The sequence below is a fragment of the Homo sapiens genome, chromosome 8, assembly GCF_000001405.40.
Source record: "Homo sapiens chromosome 8, GRCh38.p14 Primary Assembly".
Classification (NCBI taxonomy): Eukaryota; Metazoa; Chordata; class Mammalia; order Primates; family Hominidae; genus Homo; species Homo sapiens.
In genome coordinates, this window is record NC_000008.11 from 55,901,814 (window position 1) to 55,927,265 (window position 25,452).

General features: G+C 42.4%; 1 protein-coding gene and 1 non-coding gene across 4 annotated transcripts in view, besides 4 other annotated features; one reads left to right on the plus strand and one right to left on the minus strand.

Annotated features, from left to right (window-relative positions):
* LYN (LYN proto-oncogene, Src family tyrosine kinase) overlaps nt 1–25,452 on the plus strand; it is a 134,335-nt gene that overhangs the window by 21,979 nt on the left and 86,904 nt on the right. The gene's annotated exons all lie outside the window — the stretch shown is intronic.
* On the minus strand, nt 910–1,042 carry SNORA1B (small nucleolar RNA, H/ACA box 1B). Its single transcript, NR_145767.1, has one exon. It is a non-coding gene; the product is annotated as a small nucleolar RNA, H/ACA box 1B (small nucleolar RNA).
* Nucleotides 12,258–12,758: an enhancer, noted in NCBI's record as "H3K4me1 hESC enhancer chr8:56826630-56827130 (GRCh37/hg19 assembly coordinates)". NCBI's record gives its function as "activates a minimal SCP1, AML or CMV promoter by ChIP-STARR-seq in primed H9 embryonic stem cells {active_cell/tissue: H9 hESC(primed)}" and the evidence as "EXISTENCE:reporter gene assay evidence [ECO:0000049][PMID:30033119]".
* Nucleotides 12,759–13,259: an enhancer, noted in NCBI's record as "H3K4me1 hESC enhancer chr8:56827131-56827631 (GRCh37/hg19 assembly coordinates)". NCBI's record gives its function as "activates a minimal SCP1, AML or CMV promoter by ChIP-STARR-seq in primed H9 embryonic stem cells {active_cell/tissue: H9 hESC(primed)}" and the evidence as "EXISTENCE:reporter gene assay evidence [ECO:0000049][PMID:30033119]".
* Nucleotides 17,700–17,799: an enhancer, noted in NCBI's record as "active region_27387". NCBI's record gives its function as "activates an Ori minimal core promoter by ATAC-STARR-seq in GM12878 lymphoblastoid cells {active_cell/tissue: GM12878}" and the evidence as "EXISTENCE:reporter gene assay evidence [ECO:0000049][PMID:35858748]".
* Nucleotides 17,837–18,131: a silencer, noted in NCBI's record as "tiled region #838; K562 Repressive non-DNase unmatched - State 5:Enh". NCBI's record gives its function as "represses a minimal TATA promoter and a strong SV40 promoter by Sharpr-MPRA in K562 cells {active_cell/tissue: K562}" and the evidence as "EXISTENCE:reporter gene assay evidence [ECO:0000049][PMID:27701403]".

Genomic DNA, 25,452 nt, shown 5'->3' on the forward strand with positions numbered 1-25,452 from the left:
AGTTGCATTTCCTGGCTCAACCAAAGATAAGCAGGGAAGAACCTAAATGAAAAATGACTTTCAGACTGTGATTTGGGTTAGTATACCACCTCAGGGCAGCAATGGAGTCATGACTGCACAGACACGGGAAAGGATCTGGTTGCAGAAACCAAGTGAGTCAGTGATGATGTATCATCATTCTAAAAAACGTACCTGTACTTTCTTTTTTTTTTGAGACGAGTTTCACTCTTATTGCCCAGACTGGACTGCAATGGTGCGATCTTGGCTTACCACAACCTCTGTCTCCTGGGTTCAAGCAATTCTCCCACCTCAGCCTCCCGAGTAGCTGGGATTGCAGGCATGTGCCACCACTGCTTGGCTAATTTTGTATTTTTAGTAGAGACAGGGTTTCTACATGTTGGTCAGGCTGGTCTCGAACTCCCAACCTCAGGTGATCTGCCCATTTTTGCCTCCCAAAGTGCTGGGATGATAGGCGTGAGCCATTGCGCCTGGCCGTAACAGTGTACTTTCTTTCTTTCTTTTTTTTTTTTTTGAGATGGAATTTCGCTCTGTAGCCCAGATTGGAGTGCAGTGGCGTGAATTCAGCTCACTGCAACTTCCGCCTCCCAGGTTCAAGCAATTCTCCTGCCTCAGCCTCCTGAGTAGCTGGAATTACAGGTGCGCTCCACAACGCCCAGCTAATTTTTTTTTTCTAGAAGTTGAATTGTACAAAGTACACTTATATTTTGACACCTGATCCAAAACACAGTCATGTACCACATTACAATGTTTCAATCAATATATAGCATACAAAAAAAAAACAACAACAACAGTAGTCCTATGAGATAAGAGCTGAAAATTCCTTATTACTTAAATGTTATTTTGAAAGTCAACATTTTTCTTCTACATATTTTACTCATAAGCATGGCAAAATGTTACAGGTCTCATTGTCACCACTGCAATATGCATACTGTGATGGAAGCATAACCTATCTCAATTTAGCCACATTAACTATTTTTGGACACCTTGATCAACAGTGCCCATTCTCATCTAGCATGAGGCTTTTTTTTTTTGGAGACGGAGTCTCTCTTTGTTGCCCAGGCTGGAGTGCAGCGGCGCAATCTCCACTCACTGCAACCTCCGCCTCTTGGGTTCCAGCGATTCTCCTGCCTCAGCCTCCCGAGTAGCTGGGACTACAGGTGTGTGCCACCACACCCAGCTAATTTTGTATTTTTTAGTACAGACAGGGTTTCACCATATCGGCCAGGCTGGTCTCGAACTCCTGACTTCGCGATCCGCCCACTTCAGCCTCCCACAGTGCTGGGATTACATGCGTGAGCCACTGCGCCCGGCCTACGCCCAGCTAATTTTTATATATTTGGTAGAGACGGGATTTCACCATGTTGGCCAGGCTGGTCTCGAACTCCTCACCTCAAGTGATTCGCCCACCTCAGCCTCCCAAAGTGCTGGGATTACAGGCGTGAGCCACCGTGCTGGGCCTTGTACTTTCTTGAATGGGAAGTTGTCTTCATGGTGAGCAGCTCTTCTTTGAGGTGTTTATTTGAAGTATTCAAAAGAACAGAGAGATTCCAGTAGGGAACAATGAAAATATTAAGGCTTCTATATCATGCCCTGTGAGGGAAAGTAGACAAAGATGAAATAAACTTCAACAAGAGACTAAAAAACTACTTGAGTGTTTTTGATTACCAACTTTTCATGAGCTGAATAGTTTGAAAATTTGCTGCTTTTCTAAGTTTTCCCTTTAAGATCAGGGATAAATCATTTCCTGGAAGGATATTTTTCACTGTAAGCTCTTTCTGTTTCTATGTTGATAATCTAATCTGAATAATTAAGTTTTATTGAGACCTTCCTTTTGAAAGTAACTTGTTACCTATGTATGATTAACCTGGCTATTATTCTAAATGTAGAATTTAAAGTGTTTTATCCATGGTAGCTCACACCTGTAATCCCAGCACTATGGGAGGCCAAGGTAGGAGGATTACTTGAGCCCAGGAGTTTGACACCAGCCTGGGCAACATAGAGAGACCCTATCTTTACAGAAAATAAAAAGAAATTAGTCAGGCATGGTGGCATGGCCCTGTAGTCCCAGCTAGCTACTTGGGAGGCTGAGATGGGAGGATCCGCTTGAGCCTCGGAGGTTGCAGCTGCACTGGGCTGTGATTGTGCCATTACAACAGAGTAAGACAGAGTCTCAAAAAAAAAGTGTTTTATCATTTATGTAGAGCTTGGAGTTTCAAACATAAAGTAGAATTACTTTATCACTTGTAAAAAATGTGTTCTCTGAAAGTTGATAAACAATGAGGTAGAATGACTCCTGAAATTAAAAAAAATAATAGCAGGACTTTAATAGATAAATCTGAAATAAGTACGATGAACAATTTTTTAAATAAAATATACCCTGAAGCTAATACTTTGTAAATACCAACATTTTCTTTATGGCTATAGTGTAACCAAATTCAGGAGTAAGTAACTCAATTATTTGGCTGTCGGGTTGATGGAATGAAAATAAATTTCTTAGAATATGATATGAAATATGATATGAAATTCAACTTTACTAAACTTTACTGAACACCAGCAAATGTATTTACAATCCTGGGTTCTATTTGTCAATCACAGACCACCCTTTTTTCTGAGCATTTTTTCTGTTCTGAGTTCACATATGGGGTTAGGTTGGCAGTGGATAAATTCCAGTCCCCACCCTTTAATAGGGCATGGAATTATGATGCCACACAAAATAATTTCTGTATGTGTTACCCTGCAGATCATGCACCTATAAAAGATAAAGAAATGGCCAGGTGCGGTGGCTCATGCCTGTAATCCCAGCTACTCGGGAGGCTGAGGCAGGAGAATTGCTTGAGCCCGGGAGGTGGAGTTTGCAGTGAGCCGAGATTGCACCACTGCTCTCCAGCCTTGTAACAGAGCGAGACTCCATCTCAAAAAAGAAAAAAAAGAAGATAAACATAAAAGGTTTCCATTGCTATGATTTCAATTCTAGGGTGGAGCTCAGGGTTTGGCAAGGTTCCCTACATTATTAGACTGCGCATTTTACCCTTTTTCAAAAGCAGGTAAGGTTGTAGTGTAGAGTGTGGCTAGTGATTCTCAACCCTGGCTGCTCATTAGAATCAATGGGGAGCATTTAAACCTCCCCATGCCCAAGCTGTTCCCTAACCAATGAAATGGGAATGGTGGGGGCCTAAGCATCAGTATTTTTTAGAGTTCCCCAGGTGATTCTGCTTGTGTACCAAGGATGAGAATCATTTTACTAGATTCAGCTATGTGGGAATCTTTCGGCTATTTTAGAAAACATGGTGACCTGGCTGGGTGTGGTGGCTCGTGCCTGTCATCCCAGCACTTTGGGAGGCTGAGGCAGGCGGATCACCTGAGGTCAGGAGTTCAAGGCCAGCCTGGCCAACATGGTGAAACCACATCTCTACTAAAAATACAAAAAATTAGCCAGGCGTGGTGGCAGGCACCTGTGATTCCAGCTACTCCGGAGGCTGAGCAGGAGAATTACTTCAACCCGGGAGGTGGAGATTGCAGTGAGCCGATAGTGCCATTGCACTCCAGCCTGGGCAACAAGAGTGAAACTCCGTCTCAAAAAAAAAGAAAGAAAGAAAGAAAGAAAGAAAGACAAAAGAAAACATGGTGGTCAGTGAATTAAGGTGGCCCAGTTAATATCCAGTCAGTTCCCACCTGAATGTCAGATGTCCTGGAGTGCTGAGATGTGTCCAGAATTGCTAGCTACCCAGCTAGAAAAGCTACCGCAAGGTCATCTCGGGAAAAGGGAACCACAAATGTCCCAGTTAAGAGGATGGATAGTTTCCCAGGGTTGGAGTCCTTTCTTTTCCTAGTCACCCCCAAACACTTAAGAGGCCTATGGGATGGGCAGGGGAGCAGGGAGAGCCTCACTCCTCTCCCATCTGTTGGGAGAGCCTCACTCACCAAAACAGCGTTGCCTTGTCTGTGTCATATGCATCATGTGAGTGCATGAAGTCCCTTGCTCCAGGGACTTCCCATTAGGCCTGGAGTGTCTCCCATGCAAAGAGCCCGCTCCTCTGTTCCTGGGACACACCTCTGGCAGTCCCAGAGGTTGCCCATTCATCTTGACTTCTGGAAAGAAGCCTATAGTGAGAAAGGAGCATGTAGTCAGAAACCACCAAGTGCAGCATAGTTCTACATAACTCACAGCATTCAGTAGTTTTGTGTTGTTGCTTTTCTTTCTTTTTCCATACAGTAGTTCATCTGATATGTGCAGTTACGCAGCACCTGTTAAGTCAGAGGGCTGGGATGGTGAGGTCGCCCTGTAAACTCTGGGCAAATTACTCCATTTCTGAGCCATCTTTTGCCATCTGTTAGAATTTCTGATCAGGATTTAATCGGGGTTGGTTGTGAAAGAGTATATGAACATGCTTTGATAAAGAAGAAAATAAGTGGGCCAGGCACAGTGGCTCATGCCTGTAATACCAGTACTTTGGGAGGCTGAGGTGGGAGGATTGCTTGAGGCCAAGAATTCGTTTTTTTTGTTTTGTTTTGTTTTGTTTTGTTTTGTTTTTGACAGAGTTTCAATCTGTCGCCCAGACTGGAGTGAAATCACACCCAGCAATGGCGTGATTTCGGTTCACTGCAACTTCCACCTCCTGGCTTCAAGTGATTCACCTTCAGCCTCCCAAGTAGCTGGGATTACATGTGCCCACCACCACGCCCAGCTAATTTTTGTATTTTTAGTAGAGACAGAGTTTCACCATGTTGCCCAGGCTAGTCTTGAACTCCTCACCTCAGGTAATCCACCTGTCTCAGCCTCCCAAAGTACTGGGATTACAGGCGTGAGCCATCACGCCTGGCCGAGGTCAAGAATTTGAGATCAGCTTGGGCAACGTAGCAAGACCCAGTCTCTACCAAAAAAAAGAAAAAGAAAAAAAAAAGAGAGAGAGAGGAGAGAGAGAGAGAAATAAATGAAATGTATCCCAGTTGAACAACAGTTGAGCTGAGGTGTAAGCCTCCAGATGAAGGAAGAAGGAGCAGCCCTCCTGTAAGCTGAGAGCCCTGTCCTTAATAACCCTGTCCTATTGAGAATGATTTTTCCTCTTCCTGGATCATGAATGCTTGCTCAGTGAGCCATTGCCATCCCTTGCAAAACAGACTGACCAAATGCTGGCAAGGATCAGGGAGACGAGTATAAACAGGTATAGCCACTTGCAGGAAACCCTTTGGTCATTTCTTAGAAAATCTACATACATCTACCTCATGACCAAGGAATTCCACTTCTAGATATTAATCCAAGAGAAAGAAAAACATAGGTCCACAAAAAGACATGTCCAGTTCTATATATGGCAGCTTTATTCATAATATTATGCAACCCTGGAAATATCTCAGATGTTCATTATCAGAAGAGTGGTTCAAAACATTTTGATATATTCATAAAATGGGGTATTACTCAACCAAAAAAATGAGACACTGATATATTCAACACTGATTGAATCTCAAAAACTTTTTTTTCACCTATAACGTATTCTATGATAAACATTATTTTCAATAAAATAAGTCAAACAGATAAGAATATGCACTTCATTTCTGTGAAGTTCAGGAACAGGGTCATGAGAGGGGATGCCTTAGAAAGGAGCACCATGGGCCTGTGAGGTGTCAAGGAAGCTCTGTGTCTGGTTTTGGAAGGTGGTTACGTGGGCACATACATCTACCAGAACTGATGTCAGCACAGTTAGGATCTTTACCTTTCATTGTAGGTGCTTTTTTTTTGGTGGAAAATCAAACTTAGTTGGGCATAGTGGCTCACGCCTGTAATCCCAGGACTTTGAGAGACCCACGTGGAAGGATTGCTTGAGCCCAGGAGTTCAAGACCAGCCTAGGCAACATAGGGAGACCCTGTTTCTACAAAAATAAAAAAATTAACAGGACGTGGTGGTGCACGCCTGTGGTCCCAGCTACTAGGGAGGCTGAGGTGGGAGGATTGCTTGGGCCTGGGAGGTCGAGGCTGCAGTGAGCTGTAATAGGGCCACTGCACTCCAGCCTGGGTGACAGAGTGAGACCCTGTTTCACATAAATAAGTAAGTAGTTTAAATAAATAAATAAATACAAATTTTTAAAAATGTATATCTAAATAAGAGACAGGGCTTAATTACTATTGCAAACATTTTATTACCTTAGCAGATTGTAAGGGTTGAAACCAAAACTTCAAGTTTTACTTGTTTAGAAACTCCAACAGTTCTAATGAATAAAGAGGATTATAAAATCCTGGGAAGGATTAGCATATGCTGCTTGAGGTCACACTGCTCGTTAGCCATACCATGGATGATTTGCAGGCAACCCGTTTTTTCCTCCTAAGCTTGAAAGCTAAAAATAGAATTAAAGGTGATAAGGGCATCAATTCCCAGACAGCTAAGCTGTTTAAACCATTTATTTATTTATTTATTTATTTATTTATTTATTTATTTGAGACAGAGTCTCACTGTGTCACCCAGGCTGGAGTGCAGTGGTGCAATCTCGACTCACTGCAACCTCTGCCTCCCAGGTTCGAGTGATTCTCCTGCTGTGGCCTCCCAAGTAGCTGGGATTACAGGCACCCCCCACCGCGACCTGCTAATTTTTGTATTTTTCGTAGAGACAGGGTTTCACCATGTTGACCAGGCTGGTCTCGAACTCCTAATCTCAGGTGATCCGCCCACCTCAGCCTCCCAAAGTGTTGGGATTCCAGGCCTGAGCCACCGTGCCAAGGCTGTTTAAACCTTTTATAATTGCACATTCCTTTTTAGATATAATTTTCTTTCTTTTTTACTTATACAATATTAAGAGGTGCAAGTGCAGTTTTGTTACACGGATATATTGCAGAGTGGTGAAGTCTGGGCTTTTAGTGTAACCATCATCTGAGTAGCACACATTGTACCCACTAAGTAATTTCTCTCTCACCCCTTTCCCATCCTCTTACCCTCCAAAGTCTCCATTGCCTGTCATTCCACATTCTGTGTCCATGTGTGCAGATTATTTAGCTCCCACTTATAAGTGAGAACATGCAGTATTTGACTTTATAAATTGTTTTACTTAAGATAATGGCCTCCTCTTCCATCTATGTTGCTGCAAAATACATAATTTTATTCTTTTTTATGGCTGCAAAATACATAATTTTATTCTTTTTTGTGGCTGAATGGTATTCCATTGTGTATGTATATATATATATATATATATACACACACACACACACACACACACACACACACACACACACACCCCACATTTTCTTTACTTTTATTTCTTCATTTATTTTTATTTCAAACACTAGTGTCAAGGGCTTTCAGTAGATCATGGCGAATTTGCTTCTCTGCTAAGTAGGAAACCCTGACCCAGAAGCAGGTGGGTCTAGGACCCAGAATCCAGGTTCCCCATGAATGTGTGCCACGTGATGGGCCAGGGTGCGACTGCATTTCCAGCTGCACCCTGTTTCCCAGGAGGAGGGCCTCTCTGCACTGGACCCCAGTCCTGGCATTGGGGAGAGTAGTCCTCTAGTGGGGACAGTGGGGACCAGCCATCCAGGGCCAACAAGGCCCATGGAGGCTCTGTGGCGCTGCCATAGGTTCCACCTGAGTGGGATTCTGACTTGGACATGTTCAGTCATAATCCCACAGATGGCAGATTCGCCCCATTGGCTCCTCAGCACATTTTCTTTATCTAGTCATCCGCTGATGGACATTTAGGTTGGTTGCATATCTTTGCTATTCTGAATAGTGCTCCAATAAACATACAAGCACTTGTTCTTTTTAATGTAATGATATCTTTTCTTTTGAGTAGATACCCAGCAGTGAGATTGCTGCATCAATGGTAGTTCCAGTTTTCATTATTTGAGAAATCTCCATACTGTTTTCCACAGTAGTTGTACTAATTTGTATTCCCACCAATAGTGTATAAGCATTGCCTTTTGTCTGCAACCTCACCAATATCTATTGACTTCTTGTTTTTCCACTTTTGAATAATAGCCATTCTGAGTGGTGTAAGATGAAGTCTCATTGTGGTTTTAATTTGCATTTTTCTGATGATTGGTGTTAATGATTAGTGATGTTGAGGATTTTTTTCATATGCTTGCTGGCTATTTGTATGTATTTTTTTTGAAAAATATGTATTCATGTTCTTTGCCCACTTTTTAATGGGGTTGTTTGTGTGTGTGTGTGTGTGTCTTTTTTTTTTTTTTTTTGAGTTGTTTGAGTTTCTTGTAAATTCTGCATATTAGTCCTCTGTCGAAGGCATAGTTTGCATATACTTTCTCCCATTCTGCAGGTTGTCGGTTCATTCCTGTTGAGTATTTCTTTTGCTGTGCAAAGCTTTTTAGTTTAAGTAAGTCTCATTTGTCTACTTTTGTTTTTGTTGCCTGTGCTTTTGAGGTCTTAGTCATGAATTCTTTGCCTAGACCAATGTCCAGAAGTGTTTTCCCTAGATTTTCTTCTAGTATTTTTATGCTTTCATGTCATACATTTAAGTCTTTAATTCATCTTGAGTTGATTTTTGTATATGGTAAGAGATATGGAGTCCAGTTTCATTCTTCCGCATATGGCAACCAGTTTTTGTAGCACCATTTATTGAAAAGGGTATCCTTTTCCCAGTGTATGTTTTTGTTGACTTTGTCAAAGATCAGTTGGCCGTAGATTTATAGCTTTATTCCTGGGTTCTCTATTCTGTCCCATTGATCTGTGTATCTATTTTTATGCCAGTACCATGCTGTTTTGGTGACTATATCCTTGCAGAATAATTTGAAGTCAAGTAATATGATGCCTCTAGCTTTGCTCCTTCTGGACAAGATTGCTTTGGTATTTGTGCTCTCTTTTGGTTCCATATGAATTTTGGGGTTGTTAGACATAATTTCTAAGATATATTCAGGTTTCACTTTTGTTCTTTAATTTTATGTATTTTCTTCCCAATAAGGCTATAAGCTTAAGTCAAAAATTGTTTTGCTTATAGCTGAAGAGTCCCTGCTTTCAGCCTGCCTTGTGATTTTCATCTTGTTGCAGTTGAATTAGGTTTGTGGCACCTCTGCTTTTTGTAGTTTTCGTATCAACACCTTGGTTTTTGGCTTTTTACTAATTTTGTTTTTTTTTTTTTTTGAGACAGAGTCTCGCTCTGACGCCCAGGCTGGAGTGCAGTGGTGCAGTCTTGGCTCACTGCAACCTCCGCTTCCCGGGTTCAAGCGATTCTCCTGCCTCAGCCTACCAGGTAGCTGGGCCTACAGGCGCCCACCTCCATGTCCGGCTAATTTATATATATATACATACATATATATATATATATACATACACGTATATATACGTATATATATACACATACATATATATACGTGTATATATATGTACATATATATACACGTATATATATATATATACACACACACATATATATATACACGTGTATATATATATACATATACATATATATATACGTGTGTGTGTGTATATATATATATATATATATATATATATTTTTTTTTTTTTTTTAGTAGAGACAGGGTTTCACCATGCTGGTCAGGCTGCTCTTGAACTCCTGGCCTCAAGTGATCTGCCCACCTTGACCTCCCAAAGTGTTGGGATTACGGGCGTGAGCCACCGCACCCAACCGGTTTTTTACTAAATTTTAAAAATTACAAGGTTAAAATACAATGAAATACTCAAGGAATTGCGTGAACCATCTCTTTTGTACAGACTGAGATGACTCTCCTGGTGACCCTGAACTCGTAGGGGCAGCAGGTGGAAATGTACATTCACTACTTGGTGGAAAGAAGTCTGAATTGGGGAAGTATTTATACATATGTGAAATTCCATTGTACTAGGGTGTCCTGTATTTTATCTGGTAACCCTGGGGGCAGTCCTATGAGCTGCGGGGCACCTGCCCTGGAGACTGAGGCAGGGAGTCAAAGCGACATGAGATTGGGGATAGGTTTTGCATGTCCGTGGAAAGGGCTTGCTGATGAATTTGATTTGAAGATTGAGAAACAGAGGAATCAAGGGCGACTTCTTGGTTTTAAACTTCAGCACCTGGTGCCCTTTACTGAGATGGAGAAGATGGGAGGGGAGTGGGTTTCAAGTGTGTTGTGATATGGACAGGTCTTATTGATGGGGTGTGGTGGGCGTCCAAATGGAGATGTGGAAGTTTGATTCTGAGTGAGCTCAATATCGTCGTGGTGTGTTCTACCACGTCCCTTCTAGCCCTTTCCGCGCTTTCTCCCATCTAGTGTTTCCCTGCTCAAATGGAAGGAGAGAGGAACAACTTAGAGCACAGTGTGACTGGGGCAAGCTACCTTAGAGATAATCATTTAAACACCAGCTAGACTGCTGCAAGAAAAGAAATGATGGTAAAAATAAATGTACTCCAAAGGAATTTGACTAAAGAATATTTCACCGTGTAACACATTTCTGTGTGCCCCTTTTGCAATGTATCATTAAGGATGCATTGCTAGGCATAATGAAACAAAATGTTTTTCGTAATGAAGTGGTTATTTTGCAATGAAAGCCAGTCAAGGAAAGAAATCAGGCTTGAATACTCCTAGTCACAACCTTTATAAAATCTAACGTTATGGTTAGACTATACCATGCCTGCGCTTAAGTAGTTTTTGAAATTTTAACCCAAATAAGAAATTCTTGGCTGGGCATGGTGGCTTATGCCTGTAATCCCGCACTTTGGGAGGTCGAGGCAAGCGGATCACCTGAGGTCCAGGAGTTCGAGACCAGCCTGGCCAACGTGGCGAAACCCCGTAGCTACTAAAAATACAAAAAATTAACTGGGCATCGTGGCACATGCCTGTAATCCCAGCTACTCAGGAGGCTGAGGCAGGAGACTCTCTTGAACCTGGGAGGCAGAGGTTGCAGTGAGCCGAGATTATGCCACTGCATTCCAGTCTGGGTGACAGAGTGAGACTCCATCTGAAAAAAAAAAACAAAACAAAACAAAACAGAGAAGAAATTCCTTCATTATAAGGAAAAAAGAAATGCACATAAGCACAGTTACAATATTATATTTCCTGATTAAAAATATGTATTCTTTTAATGGACTACAAATATTATAATTTTTCTTAAAATGGCCCGTGTGTAAAAAGTTTATTCCCCTTTACTTTACTTTTATATAGTAATGAAATTTCATAATTAAATCTATATTTTGTATTATCAATATTTAACCACTAGAAGAATTGATGATGCTACTTATTAAAAATGACAAGTGATGTAATAGAGTTAGTGGGATGTCTGCCTGTTGAAACCATTTTACTAGGTAAGTATTTTTATTACAAAGGGGTTGGATATAAACTGGCCTCATATCCAAAAACCTTTTTGCAAAAATCAAAACTGGATATATCCTGTGTTCGCTTCCTTTTCCCTGGGCCCCTCTGTTAAAATCTTTTAGCAAAAAGATTTTACCAAATAATTCACATTGAAATATAAATAGTTTTAAAGTTTGCTATGTTGCTTTCTTTCCAAAGGTATTCAGATTTTAGTAGGGGACAAAAGTGTCCCCTAAGTCAAGTGAGTATAAGAATTACCTATATTGTTTGCTACAAATGCAAATATCCACAGCCTCCTTGTAAAGTCTCATTCAGGGGCTGCCTACTGCAGGGCCCAAGAATCTATATTTTTAACAAATACTCTGGTCATTCTTGGGACTAGCAAATCTAGAAAACACCAACTTGAATAAAACGATTAAAGTTGTGCTTGCTGAATTTCAACTACATTAAAGGTACCAGTGCTGGAGGAGATTTTTGAGGGGTTGAGGAGAAATAATTACACATAAATTATTTTATTAATGAAATGATTCAGCAAAGTGTAAACGCCCGTAATGGGCTTGGCAGTGTCCTGGGGCTGAAGGTACTGAGTAGAATAGGACGTGAGACAAGTGCTCTACTTGAAATAAGCACAGACGTGGAAGAAGGGATGTGTAGTTTTGTCTGGGGATTCGGCACAGTTTTTATGGAGGATGTGGTCTGTGAAATGGCTGATTTGAAACATGAAGGAGGCTGCTTATGGGATGGGTTATTCTGGGAAGCAAGCAAGTGCGAGGGCACCAGAAGGTATGAAGGGCCTTGGAGTACTGGGCTTTCTTATGGCTGCGAGAGAGGATGAGTTGGAATGAGATGAGCAGCTTATGAAACCAGGAAGACAGGTTATTGTGGAGGAGTGACTTGCTAAGCTCTATCAGATGAGCAATGAGCAGTGAGGAAACAGGGGAGAGATGAAATCATGGCTGCTTTTGGAAAGATAAGTGGACTAGCATGCAGCATGGAGAATGGAGAGGTGGAGGGTTGTTGTTGGTGTGTGTGTGTGTGTGCACGTATGACAGAGAGAGAAAGAAGAGGGAATATGAATGGCATGGGAAATAAGAGAAAGGCAGGCCAGGTCAGAGGGTTTTTAGGATGGCCTGTGAGGTGTAGGAGGGTCTGGAGGTCGGCCGTGGAGTGGAGAAGAGATTGAGGACTCAGGCACTAATCTAAGGGGAAGGGGGACACTGTATTCTAAGGGGGCCAGTCCTGCTGCTCCCTGTAAGCACTTTATGTATTTGACATGAAATATACTGAGATGGCCCCCATACTTTAGGGTGCAAATGCTCCCCTAAAGTGAGAGTGGAAGAAGAAAAAAGGAGAAGGCACTTATTTGCTCATGTGAGCCGTGTACAGTTCCTTCAGAGCTCAGAGAGGCACTATGCAGTGAATCAAGCCAGGTCAGCTGCTGGGACTAGGGGCCTGGGTAGGTCACAGCCCTGCCGGCCATCCACATGCCTTCCAGGAACACCCCAATCTCTGGAACCTTTCCTGAGGCCTCCATTTTCAGGAATTTTGTTAGGAATCCAGATAACAGAATGGCCATAGTGGTGATTATGTTCCTTCTACCTCCTTTTCATCAGCCTCGCTCACCTTACCCTTCCAGACATGAGAAAACAGTTTCACTACAATATCCAGTAGATTTACCTAATTGGTAAAATAAGAAAGGCCAAGGAAGTTGCTCTTCTCTTCACTCCCACCCCTCCTGTTCATTTTGTTTGTAACAATAGAGCCAAGTTTCAAACAAATGTAGAAAAGGTGAGCAATGCTAATGATGTGTTTCAGATGGGATTCAGGGACAACTCAACTTGAAATTGTCTCTTAGCCATCTGTTTGTGTGCCTGGGGTTTCACCTGCTTTGAATTAGGGTAATTTAATAATTGTGAATTAGACTGGGAGAGTACAAATGGTTTTGTTAATTAGATTAAAACGTTACATTTTATAATACTTACTGTATTAACCATGGGCTGATGACGCTGCTTGTACCCTGTGTTAAAGCCTTATCTATTATCTGCTCTTTCTTTTGAAAATCTCTTTTATTTCAGTTTCCATCGCTGTGTTGCAGCTGTCCAACCTCTCTGGCATTCTAGAATGGATGCTGCCTGCCTTCCATATTCCAACGCATAAGGTTCTTTGCCTGATGTCTTGTGAACATACACACCGCAATTCCAGATACCATTAAGCCTCTGCTATCCAGGTTTATTTATATTAACTATAGTTTGTTTAAATATATTTTATTAAACTCTTTAAAAAAATACTTCTGTGAAACCAGAACCAAACAAAGAAGTATTTGAGGTCCTGGATCTTTAAATTTTGTGATCTTGGGCCTGGCTCATGCCTGTAATCCCAACACTTTCGGAAGCCAAGGCAGGCGGATCACCTGAGGTCAGGAGTTTGAGACCAGCCTGGTCAACATGGTGAAACCCCGTCTCTACTAAAAATACAAAAAATTAGCTGGGCATGGTGGCGGATGCCTGTAATCCCAGCTACTTTGGAGGCTGAGGCAGGAGAATCTCTTGAACCCAGGAGGCGGAGGTTGCAGTGAGCTGAGATTGTGCCATTGCACTCCAGCCTGGGCGAGAAGAGCAAGACTCCGTCTCAAAAAATAATAAAAAATTAAGAAAAATAAGTAAATTCTCCTTACATATAAAACATATGAAGCAGTGCTGCCAAAGAGAGAGAGAGAAAGAGAAGGAAAGAGAGAGAGAAGAGAGAAAGAGAGCGAGCGAGCGAGAGACATCGAGGATAAGAGAGAACAAAGATGATGATTTCTGAAAAAAAGGAATGGATATTCAATAAGCCTGTACTTACTATCACCATAAGCTCTAAGATATGACATGAGTATGTTTCTATTTTAATACCTCTAAACTCACAATTAATGGCATCTTAATATTTTAAAGGGTAGCCATTGTTTTAAAAGCATATAAAATAATGGTATAAAAATTAGAGCTATCTTAAGTTCAGTAAATATAGAACTTTGAGTAAGTCAATTTGATAATTCCCCTTTATGGTAAATTATCTCATGATAGTTTCATGTTTAACTAAATCTTCAGAAAAAATTTTTATTGAGATGATCATTGGCTAAAAAAAATGGTGGTATTTGATTGGTTTTAAAGAGACACTTATTTTGTTTTTTGAGGGGAAAGTGAATATTGAGAAAAAATAGTGACTGTGTTCAATGTTACGCTTTTAACATCAGTAAACTGCAACTGACAAGGCTGTTTCCTATTACCTACTGTTAAATGGCCCTGTTTTCTAACTTAAAAATGGTGCTTCTAAGGCTAAACCTTCAATTTCTTCTGGACTTTGTCAGGTTACTTTGGGTGATTTTGAAAGATTTCCATACATAATACTGCTCTGGAAGGGTGCGTGCGAATATGGTTCACAAAAGCAGTGAAGACATGTATCTACACCGAGGACAGCATGTGAGCTACACTGCAACAACTGTTTTAGATGGCCAGCCTGTGTTTGACGATGATCCCTGAGTGCCAGATGTGAAGGAAAATATAAATCCCTCACCATGTCCTGAATTCCACAATGCCTCTCCCTCCTCCCCTGGGAGTGGAGCCAGGCTGACCTCTCTCTGGCTCCATACTGGAAATGTGTGTGGCAATGGCAGCATTGCCCTTTACCCCATGCCCAATACTGCAATGGCACCTTAGGCTGTGTGTGTGTCAGACAGAAAAATAAAACATCAGATTTTTGTTAATTTTGGGTGATGAGTGAGGTCAGGGATAGTTATTATTTTGAGACTGCTATTTTTTTTTCTCTTTTTTAAAAACAGATGGGGCTGGGCACAATGGCTCATACCTGTAATCCCAGCACTTTGGGAGGCTGAGGGAGGTGGATTATTTGAGGCCAGGAGTTCAAGACCACCCTGGCCAACACGGTGAAACCCCGTCTCTACTAAAAATACAAAAATTAGCCAGGCGCCGTGGTGCATGCCAGTAATCCCAGCTACTCAGGAGGCTGAGGCACAAGAATCACCTGAACCCAGGAGACGAGGCTGCAGTGAGCCAAGATCACACTATTGCACATCAGCCTGGGTGATAGAGTGAGATTCTGTCTAAAAAAAAAAAAAAAGAGAGAGAGAGAGAAAGATGGGATCTTGCGCTGTCACCCAGGCTGGAGTGCAGTGGTGTGATTGTAGGTCACTGCAGCCTTGAACTCCTAGGCTCATGTGATCGTCCCGCCTCAGCCTCCCAAGTAGCTGGGACTACAGGCATACACCACCACACCCAGCTAATTTTAGTTTTTTGTAGAGATAGGGTCTTGCTATGTTGCCCAGGCTGGTCTTGAACTTTTGGACTAAACTGATCCTCCTGCCTCAGCCTCTCACAGTGCTGGGATTATAGGCATGAACCACCAAAAACTGCAGTTTAAAAGTGTTTATATCCTGGATACACTAACAGCATTTTGTCCAACTTGTGGAGTGGAGGGAGTAGGGAAGGGGAGGATAGTGCTAATGAACTGTGACAGGGGCTAGCAAGAAAGAAAGAAAAAGAGTTCCCTAAGTAAGCTCCTACTGGGTGTCCTCCACTCACATGGAGACAGGGCCCTGCCTTTTAGGCACTTACTCTTCCAGTGTCTATTGCATAATATGTTCAGGAAGGATCCCAGATTCAAAGATTTATAGAATTAGAGTTAAAAGGGATAGATATCTTGTTTGACCCTGAAAAAATTAAGGAATATGCTTGAGATATTCAATGGCAGAGGCTGGAATAGATTTTCCCAAATCTCCTGATGTGAAGTTCTGTGTTTGTCAAACATGACTGTGTAAAAAGATTAATTTAAACTTAATGACATGTTGTATTCATAGAAGTTCTTTGGGTTTCTGTGGAAACCTCCTCTTGCTAGCTTAAGCAGAAATGGGGGATTTATTGGAAGGAAGCTGAGATATTGCACCAAACTGCACAAAATTGAATGAAGAGCTGACTAAGCAAGGCTGCACTGAGAAGGAACCAGGGTGGTCTGGGCTGTGGTAGCGGCAGCAGCAGCTTGCAGATCTCCCAGCGCTGATGCTGGCTCGACTCAGACAGGTCTCCACTCTCTGCTGTCTGTCTCTGGCTCAGACAGGACACTTTGTGTGGCTGTTTCCTTCCACAAGGCCTCAGTGGGAGCAAGCCAGCCTCCCACAGGCCTCTGAGACAGACCACCCCATTCCTCCCTCTCCTGTTAACCTGCCTTTATTTCCTTAATTGCACTTATCACCATGCAGAAGCCTATGTGTTTGTTCCCCTGTGGAGATGTAAAAACACTGATGCCCAGGCCTAACTCCCAGAGACTCTGATTGAACTGGTCTGGGCTATGGAGCCGGGACATTTGCATTTTTCTTACAAGCTCTAATGTGCAGCCAGGATTAAGAATCATTGCCTTCTGCATCAACAGGACAAATACAAAATGTGCAGCAAAATATATGTTTAAGTGAATCAAGAAGACAGATCTAGAAACGATTGTTAAGGAATAATAATGCATTTTGTCCATCACCACACATAAGTGATGTTGACCAGAGCCCTCCCAGATTGAGTGGTGCCAGGTGTTCGGGGTTGTCTCGGTTAATCCTTACTATGGCCTTGCGGGGTAGGGGGCAGTGTCCTCATTGTCCAAATGAGTCACTGAGGCTGAGGGATTCAGGCTCAGTGTATGCCCACAGTTCTTTGGCAAACCCCACCACTGGGCCAGCCAACTACACGGGGATTCTGATCGGGTCCTGATGGGTGCCCATGATGGGCTGTGCAAAAGTGGTGGTGAGATTTCTCCACCTTCACGGAGGTGGTACCCAGGGGAGGTGGACTTCAGCAGCGAGAATGGGCTGGGTGCAGTGGCTCACAGCTGTAATCCCAGTGCTTTGGGAGTTCGAGGCAGGAGAATTGCATGAGCTCAGTTGTTCGAGACCATGGGAGACCCTGTCTCTACAAAAAAAAAAAAAAAAAAAAAAAAGTGATAGTAGTCAGACATTCCCGACAGGCAGGACTGTTGAATGTTGGTCTGTGTTACCAGGAGATAACACATTTTAAGCAGAAATAATAGGGGAGAAAGAGGATCTCAATTATTTCAAGAAAAGCAGGACTTGCTGGGCTTTCAGGGCTAATTAAAGGAAATAGGAAAAGTGAACATGTGTGAGAATCTAAACCTAACAGTTGTTTATTGAAAAGAAGAGAAAGAGTGGAGAGGGAAATGAAGTTTTGATTTTTGCCTTTTTAGGAAATTGGGATATAATTTAGTGTTCGTACTTTAAGTTAGTGTAGAGTTTGAGTGAGAAGAATGAGGAACATAAATATGAATGCTCTGTTAATATAGTGCTTTTCATAGAAATAATGGAATAGAATACGCTTCACTGCCGGGTCTGGAAACCCTCCCTCTGTCAGGGTGATTTAGAAATTGACTGATTTTACCATGGAGGGATGGGATGGGCCACAGGCTGGGGTTTGAAGAAAGAATCTATAATCCTTTTGGTCTTAACTATTAGGCAAATTTAGCTTCCTGGTCTCAGAAAGAAAAAACACACCCACAAAAAGAAAAACCCATGCCCGTGGGAACAAGTAACTTCCTCCTCCTGGGGCTGCTTGAAAACCCTAATCTTCCTCTCACCAGGCCAAGTCCCTTCCCTTCTCAGCGGGAGGCCAGCTGGGGCATCCAAAAAGCCACAACGGGCCCTGGGGAGGGAGAATGCACCCGTCTGGGTGAGCAGTTGAACGTGCATTGGCTGAGGTGTGAGGCTCGGGAAATGGCTCTCCAGGCAAAGACGCTGCTTGGAGGCAACTTTATAATTCTTTGTACCTGGGAAAGTGAAGGGTTGGGCGGGGGGAGTGGGGGTGGGAGCTTTGTCACGTGACCCCACTCTTTGCTTCTTTGTCTGTCCTCCAACTTAACATGGCTTGAGGCTGAAAAACAGAATTCCTCATTTTTTACTCAGTGACAAAATCAGAGAAAAAAGTCAATGCCAATTGAAAAAGACATCTGCAAACATAGAACTGTTTTTTCTGCCAAATATGTGAGCATGGGCTGTAAATATAGTAAAATAATTCAGCAGATTAATTGTGGGAAGGCCAGTGTGAGTTGGGGAAGAATCTGAAACCTGGACCACTAGAATTCCAGTAAAGTGAAGAGAGGGATAGAATTGAGGTAGAGCTGGGGGACTTGGGGACGCATCAGACATTATCTGGAGTGCTGTGAAAATTACACCGCTTTCTTTGTTAGCAGGATTCCCATTCATAAAGCCTCTTTAGCAATTTTTGTTTAACAATTTTGTTTGTGCAGAATGTCACAGCAACATTTCTTAAGTGTGATCATGTCACTATAACCTGGCTTTCCTTGTTTTGGAGGACGGGGGCGGATAATGGGAAGTAACGCATTGTTTACTTGCTCTGAGAGAGCATTTAACATATGCTATTTCATTTAATCCTCATGGTGACCCCTGATGGAGGACTGTTATCTACCCTTCACAGATGAGGAAAATGAAGTTTAATGAAGTAACTTGCTTATGTTTATATGTCTGTTAATAAATGGAAGAACAAGGATAGACCCAATTTCCCCTCATTCCAAAGTCCTTTGCTGCTTTACTTCAGGAAATTTTTTTTTTGAGACAGTATCTCACTCTGTTGCCCAGGCTGGAGGGCAGTGGCATAAATCTTGGCTCACTGCAAGCTCCGCCCCTCCCCCCCTTGCCCTTCCCCACCACCCCCCCACCGGGTTCCAGCAATTCTCCTGCCTCAGCCTCAGCGGGATTATAGGCATGTGCTACCACGCCTGGCTAATTTTTGTATTTTTAGTAGAGACAGGGTTTCACCATGTTGGCTAGGCTGGTCTTGAACTCCTGACCTCAGGTGATCTGCCCGCCTTAGCCTCCCAAAGTGCTGGGATTACAGGCGTGAACCACCGCACCCAGCCAGGAAGATTTTTAAGTAAAAGATTTTCAGCCCACATTCTTTGAATGATCACAGATTATCAGATAATGGGGGACATTTTGTTTGTTTTCATCGTCTAGATACGTCTGAAACGAAAACAATTTTGGGAGTTAACATTTATTAATCATCTATTATAAACCAAATACATTGTAGCTAATAATTAAAATATATTCTATTACGGAATTGCTGCTGACCACAAACTATGGAATAAGCACGTGGAATTTCTAAGTTCACTTTAATTCAACAACTGGTGCTTTGTTGCTGACTTGGTAACCAGGTGGCCCACTGTGTATGTTTTATTGAAGCAAGTTGTCTGCAAAGAAGCGGGATAGACAGGGTCTGTCCTCAAGGGGTTTACAGTCTATCGAGGAGAGAGCTATACACGTACTAACTGATAGACACCTCTAGAGTTACATAACAGACATAAAGTTGTACATAACAGACATAAAGTTGTACTATAAGAGATGTCCTGGGGCTTGGGACGAAATTCCAAATTGATTGTGGAGAGAAGAAATCTGAGGGGAGAAGGATGTGGGCTGCTGGAGACCAGGCAAGATGGGTTTTGAGTTACGTTTGGAAGACAGGTGAGATTTGCATAAATGGGTAGGAGTGCATGAGCCAAGATGAAAAGGCAGGTGATGCCACCGTGCCAATTAGGAGTCTAACATTTGGAGTAACACAGGTGATGGTGAGGCAGGTTGAGGCCAGCCTGGGAGAGGCAGGGAGGGGCAGGTTGAATATTTCAGGTTTTGTCCTGTTGGCAGGAGTGTTGATAGCAGTATTACAAATGATGGTATATTAGTAATAATAATGTTTAAAATGTATTGAGCATTTACTCCACTGGATACTCTTTATTCCACAGATATTTACAGAGCATTTACAAGTGCCGAACAATGTTTCTTGCACTGATAATACAAGGGTGTGCAAAACTGACAGGAATCCCTGCTCTCATGGAGCTTACAGTAACAGAGGAGCGATGGACAGATGATAAAATAGGTACATTCTTCCGTGGGTGCTGTAGGGAAGCATAAGGAAAGGAGTGGGTGGAGAATGAATGGATAAGGGAGATCACAGTTTCATTTTTATTTTTTCTTTGGGCAGAGTCTCACTCTCACTCAGTCTGGAGTGCAGTGGCATAAACACAGCTCGCTACAGCCTCAACCTCCCAGACACAAGCAATTCTCTCACCTCAGCCTCCTGAGTAGCTGGGCCTACAGGCATGTGCCACCACGCCCAGCTAATGTGTTTAAATTTTTTATAGAGAGGGGGTCTCACTGTGTTACCCAGACTAGCCTCAAACTCCTGGGCTCAAGCGATTCTCCTGCCTCAGCCTCCCCAAGTGCTGGGATTATAGGCATGAGCCACCACACCTGGCTGACATCACAATTTTAAAGCCTGGTTCTATGTGTGCCAGTGTATTAATTTATCTAATCAGGTAAATAATAGGTAGAAGACAGTCTCCGAAGAATTATAAACGTAGGCTGGGTGTGGTGACTCATGCCTATAATCCCAGCACTTTGGGAGGCCGAGGCGGGTGAATTCTCAAGAGTTCAAGACCAGCCTGGCCAACATGGTGAAACCCCATTTCAACTAAAAATACAAAATTAGCCGGGAGTGGTGGCACACGCCTGTAATCCCAGCTATTGGGGGAGCTGAGGCAGGTGAATCACTTGAACCTGGCAGGCGGAGGCTGCAGTGAGCTGAGATTGTGCCACTGCACTCCAGCCTGGGCAAAAAGAGCGAAATTCCATCAAAAAAAAAAAAGAATTTTGAATATGAAGTAACATGAAAATAGAATTCATAAAGATGAGTGTAGCAAAACGGGAGGGTGCCAGCTGGGAGGCAACCTCAGCAACCTGGGATGGTTAGACGTAGCAGGGCTGTTGTAGCAATTAATATTAGGTAGGGTTTAGTAGAGAAAGGAGACCAATATAGGGAAAAGAAATCAAAACTCACTATCTGCTCCATGCCTTTCCGAGCCTAGAATCCAAGTGCAATTATATCGCAAAACTGACAGGGCTTGAGGGAGGGTGGACCTAATGAGTAAAATGTGAAGCGAAAGTGACAGGATGACTGAGGGTTTGAGCCTCGGGTGACTGGAATGGTGAGAAAAAACAATTTTCAGTAAGGAAGATGGAAATTCAATAGAATTGTCTGTCATACTATTTAAGTAATTTAAAAATTTTTTGAAACGAATTGGGGGTGGCCTCTAAGGTACTGATCCTTTCTGAGAGTCAGTAGTTTCTCCTAATGGCAGTGCGGGCAATGTGAGAGATAAAGCAGGTGGGTCCCGGTGCCAGGAGAACTGCTTCCCCTTCCCAGCACATCTGCTCAGTTTCCGCCTCTCTGTCAAGCTACACCTGCTCTGTCCTAACCTGCCATCCACTGCTTCCCACTTCCAAAAATTTCTTGCTTACAGATTCCCAAATATGCTTGCTTCACAGCATTCTGAGTGTCTATAATTTTTTCAAGGCAACCCGACAGCAGAAAAAATACAGGAGAGTTTCAGTTAGTGAATATTTAGGTCAAACAACTTTTTTTTTTGAGACAGGGTCTTGCTCTGTCCCCACAGGCTGGAGTCAGTGGCACAATCTCAGCTCACTGCAACCTCCGCCTCCTGGGTTCAAGCGATTCTCCTGCCTCGGCCTCTTGAGTAGCTGGGATTACAGGCGCCTGCTGCCATACCCACCTGATTTTTGTATTTTTAGTAGAGATGAGGTTTCACCATGTTGGCCAGGCTGGTCTCGAACTCCTGACCTCAAGTGATTTGCCTACCTCGGCCTCCCAATTGTTGGGATTAGAGGCGTGAGCCACCGCGCCCGGCCAAGATCAAACAACTTAATAAATGTTTGTTATAATGACTTAGTGCCATTTGAAAAAAAAAAATACACATACATTGAAAGAAAAATATGTTTTTATATTATTCTTAAATGACCACAGTTATTCTCAAATGGGATGTGTACACCCTGCCGCACAACTTCTCCAACCTTAGAATCATATTGGACACCCACATTCTCACTTTCTGGTGGTACTTGTTTTTTCTTTTTCTTTCTTTTTTTTTTTTATTATAGCAACCACAGAAAACCCAGTTTTACAAATATATGCTGCTGTTGAAAGGAAGATAGCATGATCTAATGTTGAAACAGCACTACCTTGAGTGAGTACCTCTCACGATGTGTGAGAGATGTCATTGTGTTTCCCTTGAAAATTTGAAATATCCCAGGGCACCTCTGTGACTTCACCATGGCACCGGGAGGGCCTCAAAACACAGTTTGGGAATCATGGTACAGGCCTGTTCTATACCATCTGTTTTCCTTCTCAATTTTATGGCACTTCTTGGCATCCTCATTTTTTTTTTTCTTTTTTTGAGATGGAGTCTTGCTCTATGATCCAGGCTGGAGTGCAATGGTGTAATCTTGACTCACTGCAACCTCCATCTCCTGGGTTCAAGTAATTCTCCTGCCTCAGCCTCCCTAGTGGCTGGGATTACAGGCGTCCACCCACCATGCCCGGCTTATTTTTGTATTTTTAGTAGAAACGGGGTTTCACCATGTTGGCCAGGCTGGTCTTGAACTCCTGACCTCACGTAATCCACCCCCCTTGGCCTCCCAAAGTGCTGAGATTACACGCATGAGCCACCGCGCCCAGCTGCATCCTCATTTTTAAGAAAATAACTGGATCCAGCCATGACCTTCCATTTCCTCTTTTTCACCTTTAAACTCCTAGAGTGAGTTTACAGTGACTCTCCAGTTCACTTCTAGTATCATATACTGCAGATATGTCACTTGGTAAGTCACTGCTTTGGCTTCAAGCTTAGTCCAAAGAATGGTTTCCCTTTTGTTTGTTTTGAGATGGAGTCTCTCTGTTGCCCAGGCTGCAGTGCGGTGGTGCGATCGTGGCTCACTGCAGCCTCCGCCTCCCAGGTTCAAGCGATTTTCCTGCCTCAGCCTCCCAAGTAGCTGGGATTATAGACACCCACCACCACACCTGGCTAATTTTTATATTTTTAGTAGAGATGGGATTTCACCATGTTGGCCAAACTGGGGTGATCCGCTTGCTTCAGCCTTCCAAAGTGTTGGGATTACAGGCGTGAGCCACCGTGCCCGGCCTCTTTTTTTGTTTGTTTTGAGACAGGTTCTTACTCTGTTGCCCAGGCTAGGGTGCAGTGGTGCAATCACCGTTCACTGCCCCCTCAAACTCCTGGGCTCAGGCAATCCTCCCACATCAGCCTCTGGAGTAGCTGGGACCACAGGCGTACACCACCATGCCTGGCTAATTTTTAAATTTTCTTTTGTAGAGACGAGTCTCATTATGTTGCCCAGGCTGGTCTCGTACTCCTGGCTCAAGCAGTCCTCCCGCCTCACCTCTGAAAGTGCTGGGATTACAGGTCCGAGCCACTGCGCTCCACCAGAATGTTTTCCAATTCTCATTCCACCATATTTCTTTTGCGTTTAAAATCCTTGGCTAGGTTCAAATTATTGCCTGGCTTTTGACCTTCATACTTTACCACAAGCTCATGAATATGCCAGGCCTTAAGGGAGAAGGGCTTTCTATGTCTTTGTCTTCTGTGAACCCATTTAAACTCCACCACAGCCATGCGGGGATGGGCGTTATTATTACCTTTTTCATGGGTGAGGAAGCAGGCCGCCCGTGACACCAAGGCATCAGAATGGAACGGAAACACCATCTAGAGGTGCTGCCTGTCCACAGTTATGGCCAGGTTCCTGAGGACACCCTGGACGCTGGTGACTGGTATAAATAAGTGTCTTGCTGTGTTTGATTTTTAATTTTTACAACTATATTTTTATAAAAGTAAATCATTATAGCTCATTGTGGACACTTTAGCAATGAAGAAAAAGAAAAACCAACTCACCACAGAAGCATACAAGTGTTTATGTAAAAATTTTTGATTCAGTTTAATTTGATTTTAATATTGCTTCCAAACATTTTTATTATGTAATCATAATGTATATAAAACTTTTTATCTTGTTTTATAAAAATTAAATTATAAGCATTTTTTATTTAATTACACAATTATTTTAGCCATCCTTAAGAAATCTTTATCACTTTCAAGGTGATTCTTGCACATAATTTAAAAACCAAATAACTACAAAGCTTTAACATAAAACAGCAGATTCCTGCCCTACCTTCCTGAAGCCTCTCCCACGTAGATTTACCCCCCAGATCCAACCACTTCCTTATCTTCAACTCAGTGGCTCTATTATATCCATTGAATGGCATCATGCAGTTTGTGTACCTGCTGCCCATCCTGTGTTTACTTAATTGAGTTACTGAATGGTTGATTGAGAGCAATGGTTCTGCAGGATTAGTAAACGCTGATAAAGGCCTGTTGACTATGCATGTATAGATGTGTAAGTTCAGAGCTACATTATCAGATGTACTTTGCCTTGCCATTTTATAAGCCTAATTTAACTGTGCATTTCTTTTATCATAAATGGCTATGGGCGTATTAGGAGTGATGACTTTATTATTAAACATTAATAGATCTCCCAGCTCTTATCAGTTATTTTCTGAACCTAAAATTGAAGAAGTTTGGGAATTAAGCCAAGAAGATCTAATGAAATTCTATTGTATTTTAAACCATAATTATTAAGACACAGCAGGTAACGGCCTGCCCTTGATAATTGTAAAGACTATTGGGTGTTAAGAAGAAGCACATTATGTGGATACATGCAACTTCTTGTAGAAATATTTTCAGGCAGCCCTCTTTTTAAAAATGGAGGATCCCTTTTCAGAAATACTGATTCCCAAGCATGTGGGCTGGTGTCTGTGCTGCCACAATATACTTTTAAAAAAATTAATAGACTTTATTTTTTAGAGCAGTTTTACATTTGTCTGTTTTTTACTGCTCCTTGTGGAGCCCGGCTAACTCCTAGGCAGTGCGCCCAGAGCTGCAGTTTTAGATTCAGATAAATTAGGCAGAAATTACAGATAATTGCCATCTAGCCATCACTGACTTCCCACCCTCAACCAGCTTATTATTAACATATAATTAACTCCTGTAATGAACATGTTACATTAGTGTGGTACATTTGTTATCACTGATAAGCCAATGTTGATACATTAATTAAAATCTACAGTTTTCATTAGGATTCACTCTTGGTGTAGTACATTTCATGGATTTTGACAAGTGTATAATGACATGTATTCACCATTACAGTCATATAGAATAGTTTCACTGCCTTAAAAATCCCCCATTCTTCACATGTTTATTCCTCTATTCCCGAAACC